Source organism: Homo sapiens, chromosome 15 (genome assembly GCF_000001405.40).
Source record: "Homo sapiens chromosome 15, GRCh38.p14 Primary Assembly".
NCBI classification, from domain to species: Eukaryota; Metazoa; Chordata; class Mammalia; order Primates; family Hominidae; genus Homo; species Homo sapiens.
The window spans coordinates 54,407,845-54,425,632 of NC_000015.10; the positions used below are offsets into that span (position 1 = coordinate 54,407,845).

General features: G+C 35.6%; 1 protein-coding gene across 7 annotated transcripts in view, besides 2 other annotated features; it reads left to right on the top strand.

Moving 5' to 3' along the window:
* UNC13C (unc-13 homolog C) overlaps positions 1–17,788 on the top strand; it is a 795,839-nt gene that overhangs the window by 570,243 nt on the left and 207,808 nt on the right. For all 7 annotated transcript variants that reach the window (XM_047432538.1, XM_017022220.2, XM_017022221.2 and 4 more), the window contains one exon: positions 7,138–7,223. In XM_047432538.1, coding sequence (XP_047288494.1) covers positions 7,138–7,223 — 86 coding nt within the window. The remainder of the gene's footprint in view (positions 1–7,137; positions 7,224–17,788) is intronic.
* Positions 1,610–1,779: an enhancer, noted in NCBI's record as "experimental_40016 CRE fragment used in MPRA reporter constructs". NCBI's record gives its function as "activates a minimal promoter by MPRAs in K562 erythroleukemia cells, with activity observed for both the introgressed and non-introgressed 15:54701737 or rs182198746 variant alleles {active_cell/tissue: K562}" and the evidence as "EXISTENCE:reporter gene assay evidence [ECO:0000049][PMID:34662402]".
* Position 1,695: a transcriptional cis regulatory region, noted in NCBI's record as "Neanderthal adaptively introgressed variant 15:54701737 (GRCh37/hg19 assembly coordinates) or rs182198746 in the experimental_40016 CRE". NCBI's record gives its function as "modulates activity of the experimental_40016 enhancer by MPRAs in K562 erythroleukemia cells {active_cell/tissue: K562}" and the evidence as "EXISTENCE:reporter gene assay evidence [ECO:0000049][PMID:34662402]".

A 17,788-nucleotide genomic window follows, 5' to 3' on the forward strand; every position in this document is an offset into this window, starting at 1 on the left:
AAAAAAGAAAGAAAAAGTTAACTGTGAAAACATTTTCAATGCATGGGAATTTTTTTGTTGTAAAAGAAAAGAATGGGCGGGGTGCGGTGGCTCACACCTGTAATCCCAGCATTTTGGGAGGCCAAGGTGGGCAGATCATGAGGTCAGGAGATCGAGACCATCCTGGTGAACACGGTGAAACTCCGTCTCTACTAAAAATACAAAAAATTAGCCGGGCATGGTGGCGGGCGCCTGTAGTCCCAGCTACTCGGGAGGCTGAGGCAGGAGAGTGGCATGAACCCGAGAGGCGGAGTTGCAGTAAGCCGAGATGGCGCCACTGCACTCCAGCCTGGGTGACAGAGTGAGACTCTGCCTCAAAAAAAAAAAAAAAAAAAAAAAAAAAAAACATGGGCAAGAACCATAGGCTCTGTTTCTGATTCTGTCTTTGATTCATTTCATGTTCTAGTACACTTTCCTAATCTCTAACGTTACTAAGTCTAAAATGAACGTTATTAAATTTCCCTTTACATCTCCTCTAAATATCAAACAAACTCATTGAATATTGTTTTTTCTTTATTGGAAAGATCTCAGTGCTTAACTCCTGACCACCAATTTTTGAATTAGAAATAATAACAACTGAATAGGGGTTTTGTGAGAAACAAATTAATATTATCCATCTTTTAAAAGAACTCACGTATATAGTAAAACTCCGATTGATTCTACTTCAAAATTGAATTTCAAAAATGATATGATTACAAAAATAATCTTATTCAGCTTCACAGGCTGTATGAAGTAGAAAATAAGAGTTCTAATGTTTATTTATCATTTCTGTGAAGTAAATCAGTAAAAATTAAAAGCGTGACTCCCCAACCTAAGCTTTACAAATTTTCAGTAGTTTGGTGTGTTTTCTTCCAGCTAATCTTTCACACATATAAACATAGAAATTCATTTAATAATGTTTGCTTCTATAGTGTTTTTTATGAAATATGCGATCATATTTTATATGCTAATCTATAATTTGCTTTATTCACCTAATACTGCCTGAGAGACATCTATTCATGTCAATTGAAAGAGATCTGCCTTGGTCATTTCAATAGCTGCATATTTTTCCGTGGTATCATTTAACATCAGGATGATGCAGCCAATGAGGGGACTCCTGGGGCACAGACAAGAGAAGGGGATAGGGACAACACAGATATTGGTATAGAAAAGAACTGAAGTCCTGTAGAGAGTCATTAGATAACTATGAGAAAATCAACTTCAACAAAAGCCTGAATTTTCATCAATTTTTAATTGTTTCCAGTCTGATAAGTAAAAAATTTTTACTCTTATTAAGGTGAACAGCTCCTTTCTTGTGTTTATTAGGCTTTGATTTTTTTTAAATTTCCCTTTCATCTCAGCCACTTTTCCTTTCATTTCTTCTATAGATTTTTAACATGTTAATAATATGTTCCTTTTATATTAATAATATTCTTTTTGTCTTTTATATAAGCTGTATATATTTTTCCAGTTTGTTGTTTTATTTTAAATGGGGGTTTTTGTTTTGCTTTTTCTTTCCAACTTTTATGTGAGGTTCAGTGGGTACATAGGCAGGTTTGTTACATGGGTAAATTGTAAGTCATGGGGGTTTGATATACAAATTATTCCATCACCCAGATGATAAGCATAGTAGCCAATAGGTAGTTTTTAGATCCGTACTCTCCTCCCACCCTCCACCCTCAAGGAGGTCCCAATGTCTTTTGTTCCTTTCTTTGTGTCCATATGCACTCGATATTTAGCTCCCACTTATAAGTGAGAACATCTGATATTTAATTTGTGTTCCTGAGTTAATTCACTTACACTGATGACCTCCAACTCCATCCACGTTGCTGCAAAGGACATGATTTTATTCTTTTTTATACCTGTGTGGTATCCTATGGTACAAATGTCCCACCTTTTCTTTATCCAGTCCACTGTGTATGGGCTTCTAGGTTGAATTCTATGTCTTTGTTATTATGTATAGTGCTGTGATGACCATACAAGTGCATGTGTCTTTTTGGTAGAGAGATTTGTTTTGGTTATATTCCCAATAAAGAGATTGCTGAGTTAAATGGTAGTTGTATTTTACGTTCTTTGAGAAATCTCCAAACTGTTTTCCACAGTGGCTGAATTAATTTACATTCCCACTAGCAGCGTATAATTGTTCCCTTTTCTCTGCAACCTCACCGGCATCTGTTATGTTTTTACTTTTCAATGATTGCCATTCTGACCAATGTGAGATAATATCTCATGGTGGTTTTGATCTGCATTTCCGTAATGATTAGTAACATCAAGAATTTTTTCACACGCTTTTTGGCCATGTGTATGTCATCTTTTGAGAAGTCTCTGTTCATGTTCTTTGTTCATTTTTAATGAGGTTGCCTGTTGTTTTTGCACGTTGACTTAAGTTTCTTACAGATTCTGGATATTACCTTTGCCAGATGTATAGTTTGCAAGTATTTTCTCCCATTCTGAAGTTTGTCCCTTTACTCTGTTGATAGTTTCTTTTGCTGTGCAGAAGCTCTTTAGTTTAATTAAATCCCACTTGTCAATTTTTCTTTTCATTGCAATTGCTTTTGGGGTCATCATAAAATCTTTGCCAAGGCCTATGTCCAGAATGGCATTTTCTAGGTGTTCTTCTGGGTTCTTATAGTTTCCAGTTTTACATTGTCTTTAATTCATCTTGAGTTGATTTTTGTATATGGTGAAAAAGATCCAGTTTCAATCTTCTGCACGTGACTAGCCAGTTATCCCAGCATCATTTATTAAATGGGGAGTCGTTTCCCCATTGCTTTTGTCAGCTTTGTGAAAGACCAGATGGTTGTAGGTGTGTGGCCTTATTTCTGGGCTCTCTGTTCTGTTCCATTGTTCTATGTGTCTTTCTTGGTGCCAGTATCATGCTGTTATGGTTACTGCAGCCTTGTAGTATAATTTGAAGTTAGGTAGTGTGATATCTTTGGCTTGGTTCTTTTTTCTTAAGATTATTTTGTATGTTTGGGTTCTTTCTTGGTTCCATATGAATTTAGAATTTTTCTTCTAATTCTATAAAAATGTCATTTGCCAAACTGCTTTCCAAAACAACTATAACATTTTGCATTCTCAAAAGCAATGTGTCAGAGTTCCAGCTCCTCTGCATGCTTGCATGTTTGCTAGCCCTTAGTATTGGTGGGCTTCTGCCTTTTGTTTTTTTTAAGCTATTCTAATAGACATGTAGTATCACATCATAATTTTATTGGCAAATATCTAATGACTAATAATGTTGAGCCTATTTGCATGTGTTTATTTCCCATCTAATTTTTTTCTCTGCTGAAGTGTCATTCAAATCATTTGCCCATTTTTATTGAGTAATGTTTTTTCTCTATTATTGAGATTTTAGTGTAATGTATATATCCTGATATAAGTCCTTTATCAGTCACATGTTTTGCAAATTTTTTTCTCCCTGTTTGTGGCTTATGTTTTTGTTTTCTCAACAGTGTCTTTTGAAGATCAGATTTTAATTCATGAAGTTCAATTTATCAATATTTTATTTTATGGGTTTACACCTTTGTGTTACATCTAGACAATTTTTGCCTAATATAAGGTCATAAGGATTTTCTACTATGTTTTCTTTCAGAAGTTTTATAGTTTTAGGTTTGGCATTTTGGTCTGTGGTCCTTTTTGAGTTAAATGTTTAATTTGTTGCAAGGTATGAGTCAAGATTTTTTTCTTTTTTGCATGTGGTTATTCAAGTATTTTAGCATCTCTTGTTGAAAAGACTGTCCTTTCTTCACTGACATACTGTTACACATTGTTGAAAATTAGCCACTCTTGTAAGAGTAGCCACTCTTGTCTTGTAGTTGAAGACATTCTGTATAAATTATTATATTTTCATAGAAAGCTGCAAATACAAGTAATGTTTGTTCTTTACTTTTAAAAAAACATTTTTTCCTCTTCTAGTGCTTTTACTTTGCTATGTCAATTTTAGAATCAGTTTGTTAATTTCCACAAGAAATTCTGCTAGAATTTTGATTGAGATTGCATTGAATCTATGAATCAATTTGAGAAAAGATAAAATTCTAACATTACTGAGTGTATCAGTCTGTAAATACAATATATTGATTTAGGCCTTATTTAATTTCTTTTTTCAATACTTCATAGTTTTCTTCATATAAATCTTGTACATATTATCTTAGATTTATAAGTATTTAATAACTTTTGATGCTGCATTAGTCCATTTTGACACTGCTATAAGGTGCACACCTGTAGTCCCAGCTACTCGGGAGGCTGAGGCAAGAGAATCGCTTGAACCCAGGAGGTGGAGGTTGCAGTGAGCCAAGATCGCACAACCGCACTCCAGCCTGGGTGACAGAGTGAGACTTCATCTGAAAAAAAAAACAAAAAAAGTGCCCGAGACTGAGTAATTTATAAAGGAAAGAGGTTTAATTGACTCACAGTTCCACATGGTGAGGGAGGCCTCAGGAAACATAATCATGGTTGAAGGCTGAGGGGAAGCAAGCAGCTTCTTCACAAGGCAGGAGGAGAGAGGCAAGAGCACAGGAGGGAACTGCCAAACGCTTTTAAAACCATCAGATCTCATGAGTACTCACTCACTATAAGAGAACAGTATGGAGGAAACTGCCCCCATGGGGATTACAGATCCCTCCCTCAACATGTAGGGATTACAGTTTGAGATGGGATTTGGGTGGGAACACGGAGCAAAACCATATCAGATGCTATTATAAATGATACTATTATTTTAATTTGAATTTCCAATAGTTCATTGGTAGTATACCAAAATACATGATTTTATATTCTGTGACCTTATATTTTGTAGCTTCTTAAATTAGTTTTTTAGACATTTTCTATGCAGACAATTTTTAGTATGCCATTTTTTATGTAGAAAACCATGTTGTCTGTGAAAAGTCTTATTTCTTCCTTTGCTATCTATATGCCTTTTATGTATTTCTCTTGCATTTTAACAGAATTTAGGAACTCCAGCACAATGTTATGTAGAAATACTGAGAGTCAACATCATCATCTTCATCCTTAAGTATCAAGTGTGAGACTTAACTATAATTTTAGCAGTAGGGTTTTGTAGATTCTCTTTATGAGGTTAAAAAAGTTCACTTTACTGTCTTTCAGAGGGATTTTAAATCATGAATGAATGTTGAAGTTTGTCAAATACCTTTTCAGCATCTATTGAGATGATCATAAAATTTTTCTTCCATAGTCTAACAATATGGTAAATTATGTTGATTCATTTTTGAAGGTTGAATTAACATTGTATTTTTGGGATAAACCTCTCGATCATAATGTATTGTTCATTTTATATATTGTGAGATTAAATTTGGTATTTTTTGTTGAAGATTTTTACATCTATGTTTATAAGAGATATTCTTTAGTTTTTTGTGTGTTTTAGTTTTTAGTTTTAGTTCTTTAGTTCTTTGTTTCTTGTATATTGTACTATAAAGTTAACATAATCTTATTCTTGATTCAAATAAATTAAAATAGCTAAGCAATTTTGCCTTTTTATAAGCATAAAGTACTCTTATTATATCACTTATAATTTTGATGCCGCATATTAATTACATAAAATCTAATGTACTACAAAATGTGTTATGCTAGTATTTATGCTCAAATGAAACCTTTTGAAATAAATTGTTTGCCTAGGGTTATTTTTATATCAGTAAAGTAAAATTTAATATTGAAAACTAATTTATATGTATTCAGATTGTATTAAATTTTTTAGAAAAGTTCTGAACTTAAATACTTGATAAATGTAAAGCTTCTGATTTAAGTTTTAAAATCGAATGCCTTATTAGACAAATTGATAAAATTGGCAGTCAGTAAGGGAAACTGATGCAACACACTCTAATTTTGATGAAAATATGGACTAGAGTAGTTCTGTATGTGTCAATAGTCTTTTCTTATTTGAGGTTGTTTTGAGGTCATATTTCCTTAGGTAACACTTTCCATACAGGATTATACTCTTTTTTTATTCGAACCCCCAAATGTGGATGAATGTGAGAGCTAGCTCTGTTCTTTGATATAAATATTTTTATTCATGTGTGCAAGTCTGTATATATATAGAGAGAAAATACTTCTAGTCTTACATTCTGGCATGGAGTGAGTGTTTACACTGTAATAAAAAGACTCGGTCATCATATTCATTGGGCTTATATTATTAAGAGCCTTATCATGAGACTGAAAACACATGCAAACAAAATAAATTTTTAGAAGCAGTCAGAATCTTGTTTTTAACCTAAGCTTGTTTAGTCTAAAACACAGACCTGCCTGGAAGTTCTGGAGTACAGATTAGTGGGTGTGTCCACCAGGAGCCATTTTGCCAGAGGGAGTGAGGAATCTTTGTTCATATAATTCACATGAAGATAATAGATAATAGAAAAAATAGAAGTACTTAATTGTGCTTCAAAGAAAATGGCTGAGGGACATATATGAGGTGTGATTTTTTAGTGTCATATGGTGTTTGCTATTCAGCTTCATCTGATCTATCCTCAAAAGTGAGACATAAAAAGACGGAGTCGGCCAGGTATGGTGGCTCATGCCTATAATCTCAGCACTCTGGGAGGCCAAGGTGGTTGAATCACCTGAGGTCAGGAGCTCCAGACTAGCCTGAACCAACATAGTGAAACCCTGTCTCTACTAAATACAAAAAATTAGCCGGGCATGGTGGCACACGCCTGTAATCCCAGCTACTTGGGAGGCTGAGGCAGGAGAATTGCTTGAACCCGGGAGGCAGAGATTGCAGTGAGCCAAAATGGCACCATTGCACTCCAGCCTGGGTGAAGAGTGAGACTCTGTCTCAAAAAAAAAAGAAGAAGATGGAGTCTTCGATAAAAGTGAAGGAGCTCTTGAGACACAAACACTCATCACAAGACATCCACAGGGAGACCCAGGCACCATTACTTTGGCACTGATATAATGAAGTCTCTTTTCTTACCATCCAATAACTTTTTAACATTAAACTCTAGTGTGTAACATTTTTTTTTTTACTTACGAAAGTTCATAAAGAGAAATGTCATAAATAAAAGTATTTATGAACTATGTAATAACTACTGTGGTATATATGTAAAATGCTGTATTTTGGTTTTTAGGCATGCTTTTCTTCTTCATACACTAATACAATGTGTTTGGTTTTAGGTTTCCTCAAGAGCTGAACATGGGAAAAATAAGTGCCGAAATTATGTGGACTCTTTTTGCTCTGGATATGAAATATGCATTAGAAGGTAATTATAAATATTTATACTTATTCGAATACATGTTAGAGTTAAATGGTGATATTGTGTTCTTGGCTTTAAATGTTGAGAATTGAAACATTAAAACACTGATTACTGTGATCAGTTTAGTTCTAAAACTTATTTCCGTATGGTGAAAAGATAAGGTCTCAAAGTACTCAAAAAGCCCTAAAGAAGTATATACATTTTTAATTATATGGTCTAAGTTCTTGGATCATAAAAATATTTCACTGATAGGATTATGCTCATATGCAAGAATACTTTATGGTAGTTCATTTACCAAAGCAGGCCATATTGAGGGGGTGGATGAGTTGTTTAGTCCAGATATTTGTCTACGTGGACTTGGAAATAGTATCCACCAGGAGGCGGGTCAAAATCCTACCAAGTTTGCTCAAGAACAATGGCAGAGGTCTTCACCCGAAACTCCACTCTGAATAAGTACAAATCATTCAGTGTAGAAAAGAGAAATACAGCTCTAAGTTAAACAATTCTATAAATATTCTTTGTGCACCCTCATTGTGTTTACAGTTAGAGATAGAACCATAGACCTGGTTACTATCCTCTAGAAACTAACAACCTAGTAGAAAAATTTCTTTGTACTTATTCAGTGAATATATATTGAGCCCATAGATACTAAATGACCATTGGTGCACTGGATGTAGGGGATGCAACAGTGAACAAGATAGCCCTGGTCCCCACCCTCATCAAGATTGCAGAGGAGGACTACAAGAATGCAAACAGTTGCAATGTGGAGTGGTGAGGACTTATGATGACGGAGTGTCTGGAGAAGCACCTACAGCAGACATGGGGCTAGGGGACAAGGCAGGCTTACTATGGGAACTTCCTCTAAGAAAATGTAACTTTGATAAAGACCTAAAGGATAGGTAGGAGTAAGAAGAGCTTTTGGTAGGACAGAGCACTAGCAATTAGAGAAAGCACAAGGTGCATTTGAGAAGAGAGAACTCAGTGGGCCCAATGATCAAGAAAGAGGTAGCAAGAAGTAAGACAGGAGAAATTAGCAGGGACCAGCAGACAGGGCCTTGTGGGCCATCGTGAGGAGTTTGACTCTGTGCTGAGAGAAACAAAGTCCCATAAAGGATTTTCAGCAGGTGCATGTCTTACTTAGATTTGCAACTTAGAAAAATCATTTTGATTACAATATGGAAAATAGGTTGCGAGAGTGAGACAGGTTTTATAGCGTTCGTGTTTATCATGCTAATGTTTAATAGCTTTCCTGTACCAGGTTGCAGAGGGAACATTCAGTTTTTCTTATTTGGAAAAAAAAGGTACTAGATAGATCATAATATCTAGTTTTGTGATAAAGTCAGGCTCTCCCACTCACAAATAGAGAGGTTTATCTAATCTTTAAAATCACACCAGAACTGCTCAGAGGTACAATTCCTTACTTTGCAATGAGGTGTTTCTTCTACAGTTTATTAATGACCCAGCCCTTCCTACCTCTTCCATCTTTGTCTCCTACTAACCACATCCTTTTACATCTCTCTGCTTTCACTGTCTCTTTGGGACCCCAAGATTCTCTTACATCAGACAGGAACTACCAGTCCACTCAGCAAATAACTTTTTTTCAGAGAGCGTTCACTACCCTAGGCCTATACTCTGCATCCCCCCACCCTACTTGAAAGTCTATCAGGCATCTGAAGATTTTTAGGGTCTGTATAGATTCTTAATCTCCTTTGTCAGAACAGACTCTTCTCTGCTGTTCCCTATAGCAGTTATTGGTGCCACCATTTATGCAGCTACTTAAGCACTTACGGGTTATCATTGATTCCTTTATTGTCTTCGCTACAGTAAAAGTTTATTCCTGCATGAGGGATTTTTTGGCCAGCTGCTCTGATGCCTGGATTTTTCTTCCCACCAATCTTCATAAGCAGCCATGGAGGGCTCAGCTACTGACACCTCCTCAGAGAAGATTTCCCTCACCGCATTATCTGTAGTAGCTCCCAGGAATAAACTTATTTTAATCTGCTGCGTAACAACTGATTTTATTTGTTTATTTGTTTGTTGATTTGATTATGTATGTGTCTTTTTTACCAAAATGTAATTTTTTTGTCTATGACTTTTACCAACATATCTACATTGCCTATAATGATGTTTAGAAAATAGAAGCTACTCAATAACTACTTGTTGAACAAATAAATTGCCAACTTTACCAGGTAATCCCAACTCAATGGATTAGTGGCAAGGGCAGTAGAGGAGACATCATTTTGTGACCGTCTTTTGCTGTGTGACCTTGGGAACATTCCAAGAGCTCAACACCTTTGTGTTTCACTGTTCTCCCCTTTTGTTTGAGTAGAACAAAACTCAGTGCATTTTCAAACATTTATTGCCTTTTTGTATCATAATGTATAAGCTAAATGTTATAGAAAGTTGACAATTAACCTTACCATTTAAGTTTTAGAGTAAATTTAAAACTTACTCTAAATCTATGTCTTAGAGTAAATTTAACTGGGGACTTGGGTACAATTCTGCATAACTGTATTTTCCATATTTAACTATGATTCAGCATACTTCATATATATTTTGAAGATTAAAGTGTTTTAATGCTTTTTAGTAGAATAGATGGTCTTACTAGTGACATTTTCAATTATATGAGATTAGAGCTTTTTGAAAAAAAGAACTATGTTAACCATGTGTCAGTCCTTAACACAAGCCTGGCATATAGTAGTTGCTCAATAAATAATGGTTGCATGAAAATCTAAGGAGCACTAAAGCAGTGTGTAAATGAATATATATGAGTAGATTAGTGACATAATTCAGAATTATTTTCATTTATATTAGAGCCAGGCAGTTGTACATTGTTAAAATTTCCTATATGTTTTATGTATGTTTGTTTGTTTGTTTGTTTGAGACGGAGTCTAGCTCTGTCACCAGGCTGGAGTGCAGTGGTGTGATGTTGGCTCACTGCAACCTCCGACTCCCTGATTCAAGCCATTCTGCTGCCTCAACGTCCCAAGTAGCTGTTTTCTAGTCCCTTCTATATTGAAGTACATTGTTCATCAGTTTAATTGTCCATATTGATATTTGCACAACAGAATAGTAAAGCTTTAGCTCATCAGAATGCCTTTTAGCCTCAATCCTTACCCAAAGGCTTTCTAATATATAACAATCTATTTTACATTAGCAAACACAGCCCACAGAACACATGGCAAAATGCTGCTTTTATGAGATAAAACCACATTTTAGCCATCAAACAGATTTCACAGACTGGTTAATAAAAATCAGCTGTCAGACTGTCTAATACAAAGTCGAAAAATATTCCATTAAATCCCCTATGTCGTTTTAGTGGGGAAATGGAGATCAGGGAGAATAGACGTTGAGAAGCAGGGCAAGACCAAGGTGGACAGATGTGTTCTAGGCTCACCTTCCACTGCTTGTTCTGCATGTTTCTTCCCGCACCCTGTCTGCCCTGCCCCTTCTTTATCTATATCTTATGAGCACCTGGTGCATTTAGGGCTTTCGAAGAGATTAGACACACTAAAGCATTTGGGGCATCCTGGTTATCCCTTCCAAAAGATCTGAAATCACAATAAGGAAATAAACACATTATAATTAAAAACTGGGAGGGTTGGGGGCTTGGTAAATATATCCTGCATACACTGATGAGCTGGAAGTGGCTATGTGGGAATAAACATAAAAGACAATAAAACGGGAGCAAGAAATGAAGCTAATTAGCATCCGCTTTTCACCTCTAAACACGTATCTCAGAAATTTAGGAGATTCTTGCCTCCTTTCATCTTTACATTGAAGGAAAGCATCAGTGTTAATACCATTGACCTAAACTTGGAAGCACAGTTCCTCTTTCACACTTATAGTAAGCACATTCCACAGTTTCCTCCACTGGCAGTTCCCTTCCAACCCGCACACTCCCTCCTCCCTTGCAATTGAGTTGAAACTACTTGTTTTGTATATCTGGAGTAGATAGAGAAGGCAAGCTCTGTATAATTAATCTAGAATCATGCTGACTAAAATATTTGGTTTCTAAATAACAGAAGAAAAATAGACATCTAAGACTGTTTGTAATGCTATTATTTAGGTACACCTTTGACCATCTACTAAATCACTTTGTTATCTATTTCAGTAAAAGATAATTAAAATATGTTTACCTGAGTAATATACCATGCTCTTTTGATAGAGATGAATACATCAGAGTAGGTATGTAATTAACTGGTCAGCCACTTTCTCTGGTCCAACTTAAAAAGTAATCAAATGGAAAGAACAGGACTAAACTAACTTCTCAGGCTATGAATGTGGTCCCACTTGTAGTATAGGCAAATCTATTTGTTGAACACACAGCTGGGTGCTCTGATACTATTAGAAGTTCAATGGCTAATAACTTCAATAACTTTTAAATCTGTCTTTCTATTATACTATGGTGAACTTTAGCAGAATCTCACGTAAATGGAAATGAGTTTCCAAAAGCCCACTGAGCTGGTATTAGAATCAGGATATGGAGACTTACCTGTTTAGATATTTTTAATTAGTAGATGGTCACTATATAAATAGAACATAAGGCCTTAATGAGTATTTTATCCCTGCCTGAACTCAAACTCTAAGATTCTAGTTTTATCTCATATAATTCTGCCTCTTTGGTTTTGAAATAAGGAACAACAGTGGACACTGACATTCAAGGATTTAGTTAAGTTACCTGGTCATCTGTGCTCCTGGAAAACACTGAGCTTTCTCACATTTTTTTGTTTCAGATGGTATTAGAATTTAAATTTCTTGTTAACTCAATTCAGAGTCTGTGTTGTCGTGAATACAGCTGGTCTCTCACTGTTGAGCTTGGTACTCACTCAAGTATGACAACTTTTTTTCTTTCTCTCTTATATGAGGCCTCAGGAGACTAAAAGGCTGAGACTGGGTGATCTTTCTCTCTCCCTCTTACAACATACCCCCTTTCTAGTTAATTGTTTTAGTAGCTAATTATTTTTGGTGTGCTTAAGGAGTCAGAAAAGAATAAGATGAACAGATCCCCTGCAGTAGCACCAAAATAGTAAAAGAGAAACTCTCAGCTTGGATACCTAAAAAATATAAGGTTTAGGGTTAGTGTATCAGTTACCTATTATGATATAATGAATTATCCCAAAATTTAGTGGCTGGCAACATACGTAAGTAGCTCCTGTTGTTGAAGAACTGATGGGCTGGGGGATTGCTTTCCTAGGTGACATACTTACATGGCTGTTGAGTAGTTGCGGGCTGTCAGCAGGAGACCTCAGTTGTTCTCAGCATGGACCTCTCCACAAACTCCTTGACCATCTCCAAGATACAGCTGCTAGCTTTTCCCAAAGTGGGCAATGCAAGAGAAAAGGCAGAAGCTGCCATCTTTATTATCTATACTGTGAAGCCACACTCAGTCACTTCTACAATATCTCGTTGGTCGCACAGTTCAGCTTGTTCAGTGTGGGAGAGAGTATGCGAGGTGATGAACTCTAAGAGTCAAGGATACAGGTGTCATCTTGAAGGCTGGCTAGCACAATTAGTATTTGCCTTTCTGATCATTTCTGTATAATATTAGCATATTCTTATTTTAGGTCAGGTTTTTGTTTGTGATGATTTTAAACAAAAATAATAGTCAGTGTGGATAAAACCATTTTTTTTCCCTTCGGCTTCATTTCTCTCAGCCCTTCCCATAACAACAGGAAAATGAGGTGAGCAAGAAATGACTCTTGAAATTTTATAAAAATAAATTATTGTCTAAGATGCTAAAGCTCTTGTTAACCCTCTCTAGTTTTCCTCACCAAGCTCCTCTGGGAAGGGAATTCTGGTTCACTGAAAAGAAATTAACCAGACACTTTCAGGAAAGGCATTCATTGATCTACTGTGCTCTCTTCATTTCAGAACAGTGGTTTTCAACACTGATTATACATTAGAATCACCAGGGGTAGAGCCTTGGCCTTTTGAAACATGCCCAGATTTTTAATCTTATTTAGCAATTGCCTATTTAGCACTTGCTAGGTACTGGTTTAAATGATTTATGAATATTAACTTATTTGATCCCCACAACAAGCCTATGAAATAAATACTATCATTATCCCCCTTTTAGAGAGGTTATTTTGCCTGAAATTATATTGCAATTGAATGGAAGAGCCAAGATTCCTGGTGATTCTAGTATGTATTCATACTAGATTGATGTATTCATGATTGAGTACCATTATTCATAACATTAATTACATTTTGGTGGCCTTCTTGGAGAATCTAATAAAATATGTAGACTGTATTACTAGAAGAATGCTAAATAGCCTATACATCAAAACTCTGCATATATTCTCCCAAAGATATGTATACAAATGCCCTATAGCCCAATCATTGACTTCTTCCAAGGATCCATGGACCCCAGGTTCAAAACTTTTGCTTGCTAGAGCAGTGATTATCCCTGGACCAGCAGCATCAGCTAGGCAGTTGGTGGAAATGCAAATTCTTGGGCCCCATCCCACATCTACCTAATCAGACATCCTGGGAATAGGGCCCAGCAATTCCTGTTTTGACAAAACTTCCAGTTGCACCTGATGTGCACCAAAGTTGAGAACCACTGCTCTAGAAAACCGCTGTGTGGAAGCAGGTGATTTAAGTAGCAAATGAACCCATTTCATGATTCTTTATAGACATCTCATTGTTCTTGGCTCATCCTTATGCAAGTAGAAACTATCTTCTGTTAAAACTTGGTTTATTTGATAAAAATGATCACCAAAGGAAAATTACTCACAAATATTCATTTAATTTTTCATTAATACACACACTTATGTATTATGTATTCAAGGAATTCCCAGAATGCTTGCTCTATGCCAGGCATTATGCTAGCAAGGCTCAATGCAACACAACAGGCATGATCCCTGCCTTGAGAAACTTTTACTTTACAATAAGCAAATAATTACACAAATAAACATATAAGATTTAAATCAGTGATATGGATGAAAAGCATGTCCATTAGACATCTCTAACTTAAATGTTTAAAGTAAACCTAGAAGTACAACCTTCTCACCCAAACCCTATTCCTCTCTTGGTCTTTTTTATTACAGCAAAATATGTTACCATTTGTGGATTATCAGACATTATCTTTGATTCCTTATTTCTCTTGCTCTACCACCATCTCCAGACACTTGACATAGACAAATCCATAAATACTTACCTATTCTAGCTCCAAAGCATATTTGGCTCTCACACTTCTCTCCATCTCTACTACCTCCAACTAGTTCTAGCCACAGGCCCCCTTCACTTTGATACCTATCATAGCCCTCTAAGTAGTTTGCACATTTCCACTCTTGCTTTCTTATGATCCATTAGCTCATAACATTCAGATTGACTTTCACACACTTAGATTACATCAAGACATTCCCTGGTATATAAAAGTTTCCAAAGGCTTCCTCTTTCAATTGACCAAAATCCATTATTTTTACTATGGCGTATAATGTAGCATGTAGTCTGGGCTCTACCCATCTTTCCAACTTTACCTCATTCACGTTCCTCTCACTCAAATGTAGCCACACTGTCCTCATGACTTCCTTAACTGAGCCAAATGTCTTCCCACACCAGGGCATTCATATTTGCTTGCTTTTCTGCCTATGAAGCTGTTTCCCTTCTCTTCATAGAGGGCTCCTTTCCATTCTTCAAGTCTCATTTCATGGTCACCTTCGTTCACAACCCTACCCTGACCATCCCATCCCTCAGAACACTCCCACGCATCTCCAACTCTTTTTTCTCCCCAAAACACTTATTATATCTGAATCATATTATTTAGCCTGGTTATTTGTTCACTTCTTTACTACTTTTTTTCTGTTTTTGATGCCTTTTCCTTTTTTCTGTTTGTACATGTTTTGGTCACAATCCAAAGCAAAAAGAAAATACACTTCTACAGCAATATAGTACACACACACACACACACACACACAACGAAAAAAAAACTTCATGAAATATAAACATCATGATAAAGATAACAAATTCTGAAATTGTATTTCTTCATAGCTGTGTGTGTACATTATATATATCTGTATATACATGAAGATATTACATGTTTATAATATATAGCATACATATATGACATATTGCATATAATTTATGTATATATATTTAAATTCTGGTCATAACCCTCTAAATTGATGTTATGACCCACTGATGGGTTGAAGCTAGCAGTTTAACAACACTGTTCTTAAAAATAAGCTTCATAGAGTATGAAACTTTGTAATTTCATTTAAAATTAAATACTCCTATTCAAAAAATAATAATTGAATATTTTGAAAATATATTATGCCACCTTAAATCTCACAAAATACATATTTTAGATATATTCAGATATATTTCTATGTTGATAAGTTTGCCAGTATAATACAGCATATAGATAATTTCCCCAGCAATATTTGGAATTTGACACAATTTGGGGCCTGTTTTTGTGTACCTAGCTCTTTATTTCTAAATATACATAAAAAATGTTATATTTATGCATAAAAATGTTTTCTCTTCAAACAAATTAAGATATTCATGGTGAATGATCACATCTCTTGGGCAAGGTATTTGAATGGAGCATTTGAAAATAAAAATCTATAGAAAGCCATTATTGCCAGAAGGAAAAATATAGTAAGAGTTCAATCAAGAAAATAAAGTTGGTATTGGCTGAAAACAAGGGAACAGAGCTAACTGCATTTTGCATATGTCATTATCATAACATGGTAGGTTTTCACTTATGTGAAAATTATATATTTAACTTTGTATTTTTTCTATCATTTTCCTGCTATTAGTTTTTCAGCCATGTACCATCTGGGAAGAGATAGGAGGAAAAAGAAAAGAGAAAGTGATGAAAACTTGCTTAGATTTTTCTTCCTTATTAGTGGTTTTTAGAATTTTTTTAGAGAAATAATAAATTGAAAGAATTGTTAAAATTAGTTTAGAAAATTTCATTTTAAAAAGGAAACAGAAATATTTACATGTCATGGCCTTAGGTGCTCATTGCTGCCTTGCTACCTATAATAAAGAGGATAAAATTATTCAGGAACAAATGAATATTATCTAAACTACTTGAACTTGAATTGTGGAACTTGTAAATTTGGCTGTCTCCTCATTAAATCAAATGAATCACAAGCCCAACAATGCATGTAGATATGTAGATATAACCAATGAAAAAAAAAATAGCTGTGACTATTTTTGTAATATTTCGGTAAAAAAATCTGTGACTTTGTTTGGAGACTGCTGATACTCAGCCAGTGAAAATGTTTTGGCAACAAAAGAAACTTGGGAAGGAGGTAGCAGTTGGCATGAAATCAGCTTTCTAGAAACTTTCTCCTGATGAGAAGCTTAGGAAACCATGGTTTTTTTTGTTTGTTTGTTTTTATTTGGAAACCTTCCAGGGAAAGCTCTGAAGAAATGACCTCCTGTTGGTTCTGTTGGGTTGACTGTCAATTACACATGTTTGTTTTAAGTGCGACCTGGCTGCAAATTGAGGAGAAGGGGAAAGGACTTGGGTAAAGCCCATTTATGCTTTAGATCAAACCTTTTCAAGCATTATAGATAACATTCACATGTGTGTTATGCTATCAAGAGAATACCTGTAAATGGTTTGTGGTGAGTAACTTCACAGACATATTAATCCTATATCAATGGGATATTCAATTTGGCAAAAACAATAGAATTAGGGGCAAGAAAATGGCATTTTTAGAATCATAGTAGAAGAGGAAGATATAGGCTAGACCTATTGACAGTCTGCTGGCTGGAAAGGACAGGAGCAGCTTGGATCATGGAGCACATCTTGGAGAGAAAACAAAAATGTTTCGTGGGTAAATTAGTGTATTGTGCTGTGCTCTGCTCTGGTCATCCCTCTGCGTCTCCCCAAGAAACTTCATTGCACTCTGCATTACTTGTCATTGGAAGGGTTCTTTAAGAATGCTCCAAAATGCTGATCTTAGCTTCAAAATGTGTCCTGATAAGCCAAGGCTGACATGCTATGTATACAATGCCATGTGCTACAAGAAACTCCAGGCCTTTCTGGCCTACCAGGGACCACTTCAGCATGTGAAAGAGTATGAGTGACATTAGGATATAGTTTATTCTTTTACATGAATAAACAAATTATTTGTAAACCTTAGTACCATCACTAGAATGAGTAGAAACACATTACAGTGAGTAAAAACTCACAATTCACTATGTAGATGGCAGAGTTCAATGACACCGTGACCCCAAATCACTGCTCTGGCTTATTGGAAAAATACGAAAGCAGTAAGTAAAAGGATAAAAACTGGACCTGGGGCTACAAGAGAAGATTTCTACAATGAAGGGAGGCAACAAGTAGTAAGTGGTTTGCAAATGGGAGAATTCACAGTACAGGTGAATCACAACCCAAGTTATGAGGCTAAAGAATTTTCATGCTATGCTCCACATAAGAAAAACTTACATGGACAACCAGGCATGAGAGATCTTACTAACAGACCCAAAGGCAAATGACACCTAGAATTAAGTGATTCCTTTCTCAATTATTGTAGTCCCTCTTAGTGCTACTATTCAAAGAAATTTATTCACCTCCTGAGAAGTTAGTCTAGATCAGTGGCCTTCAC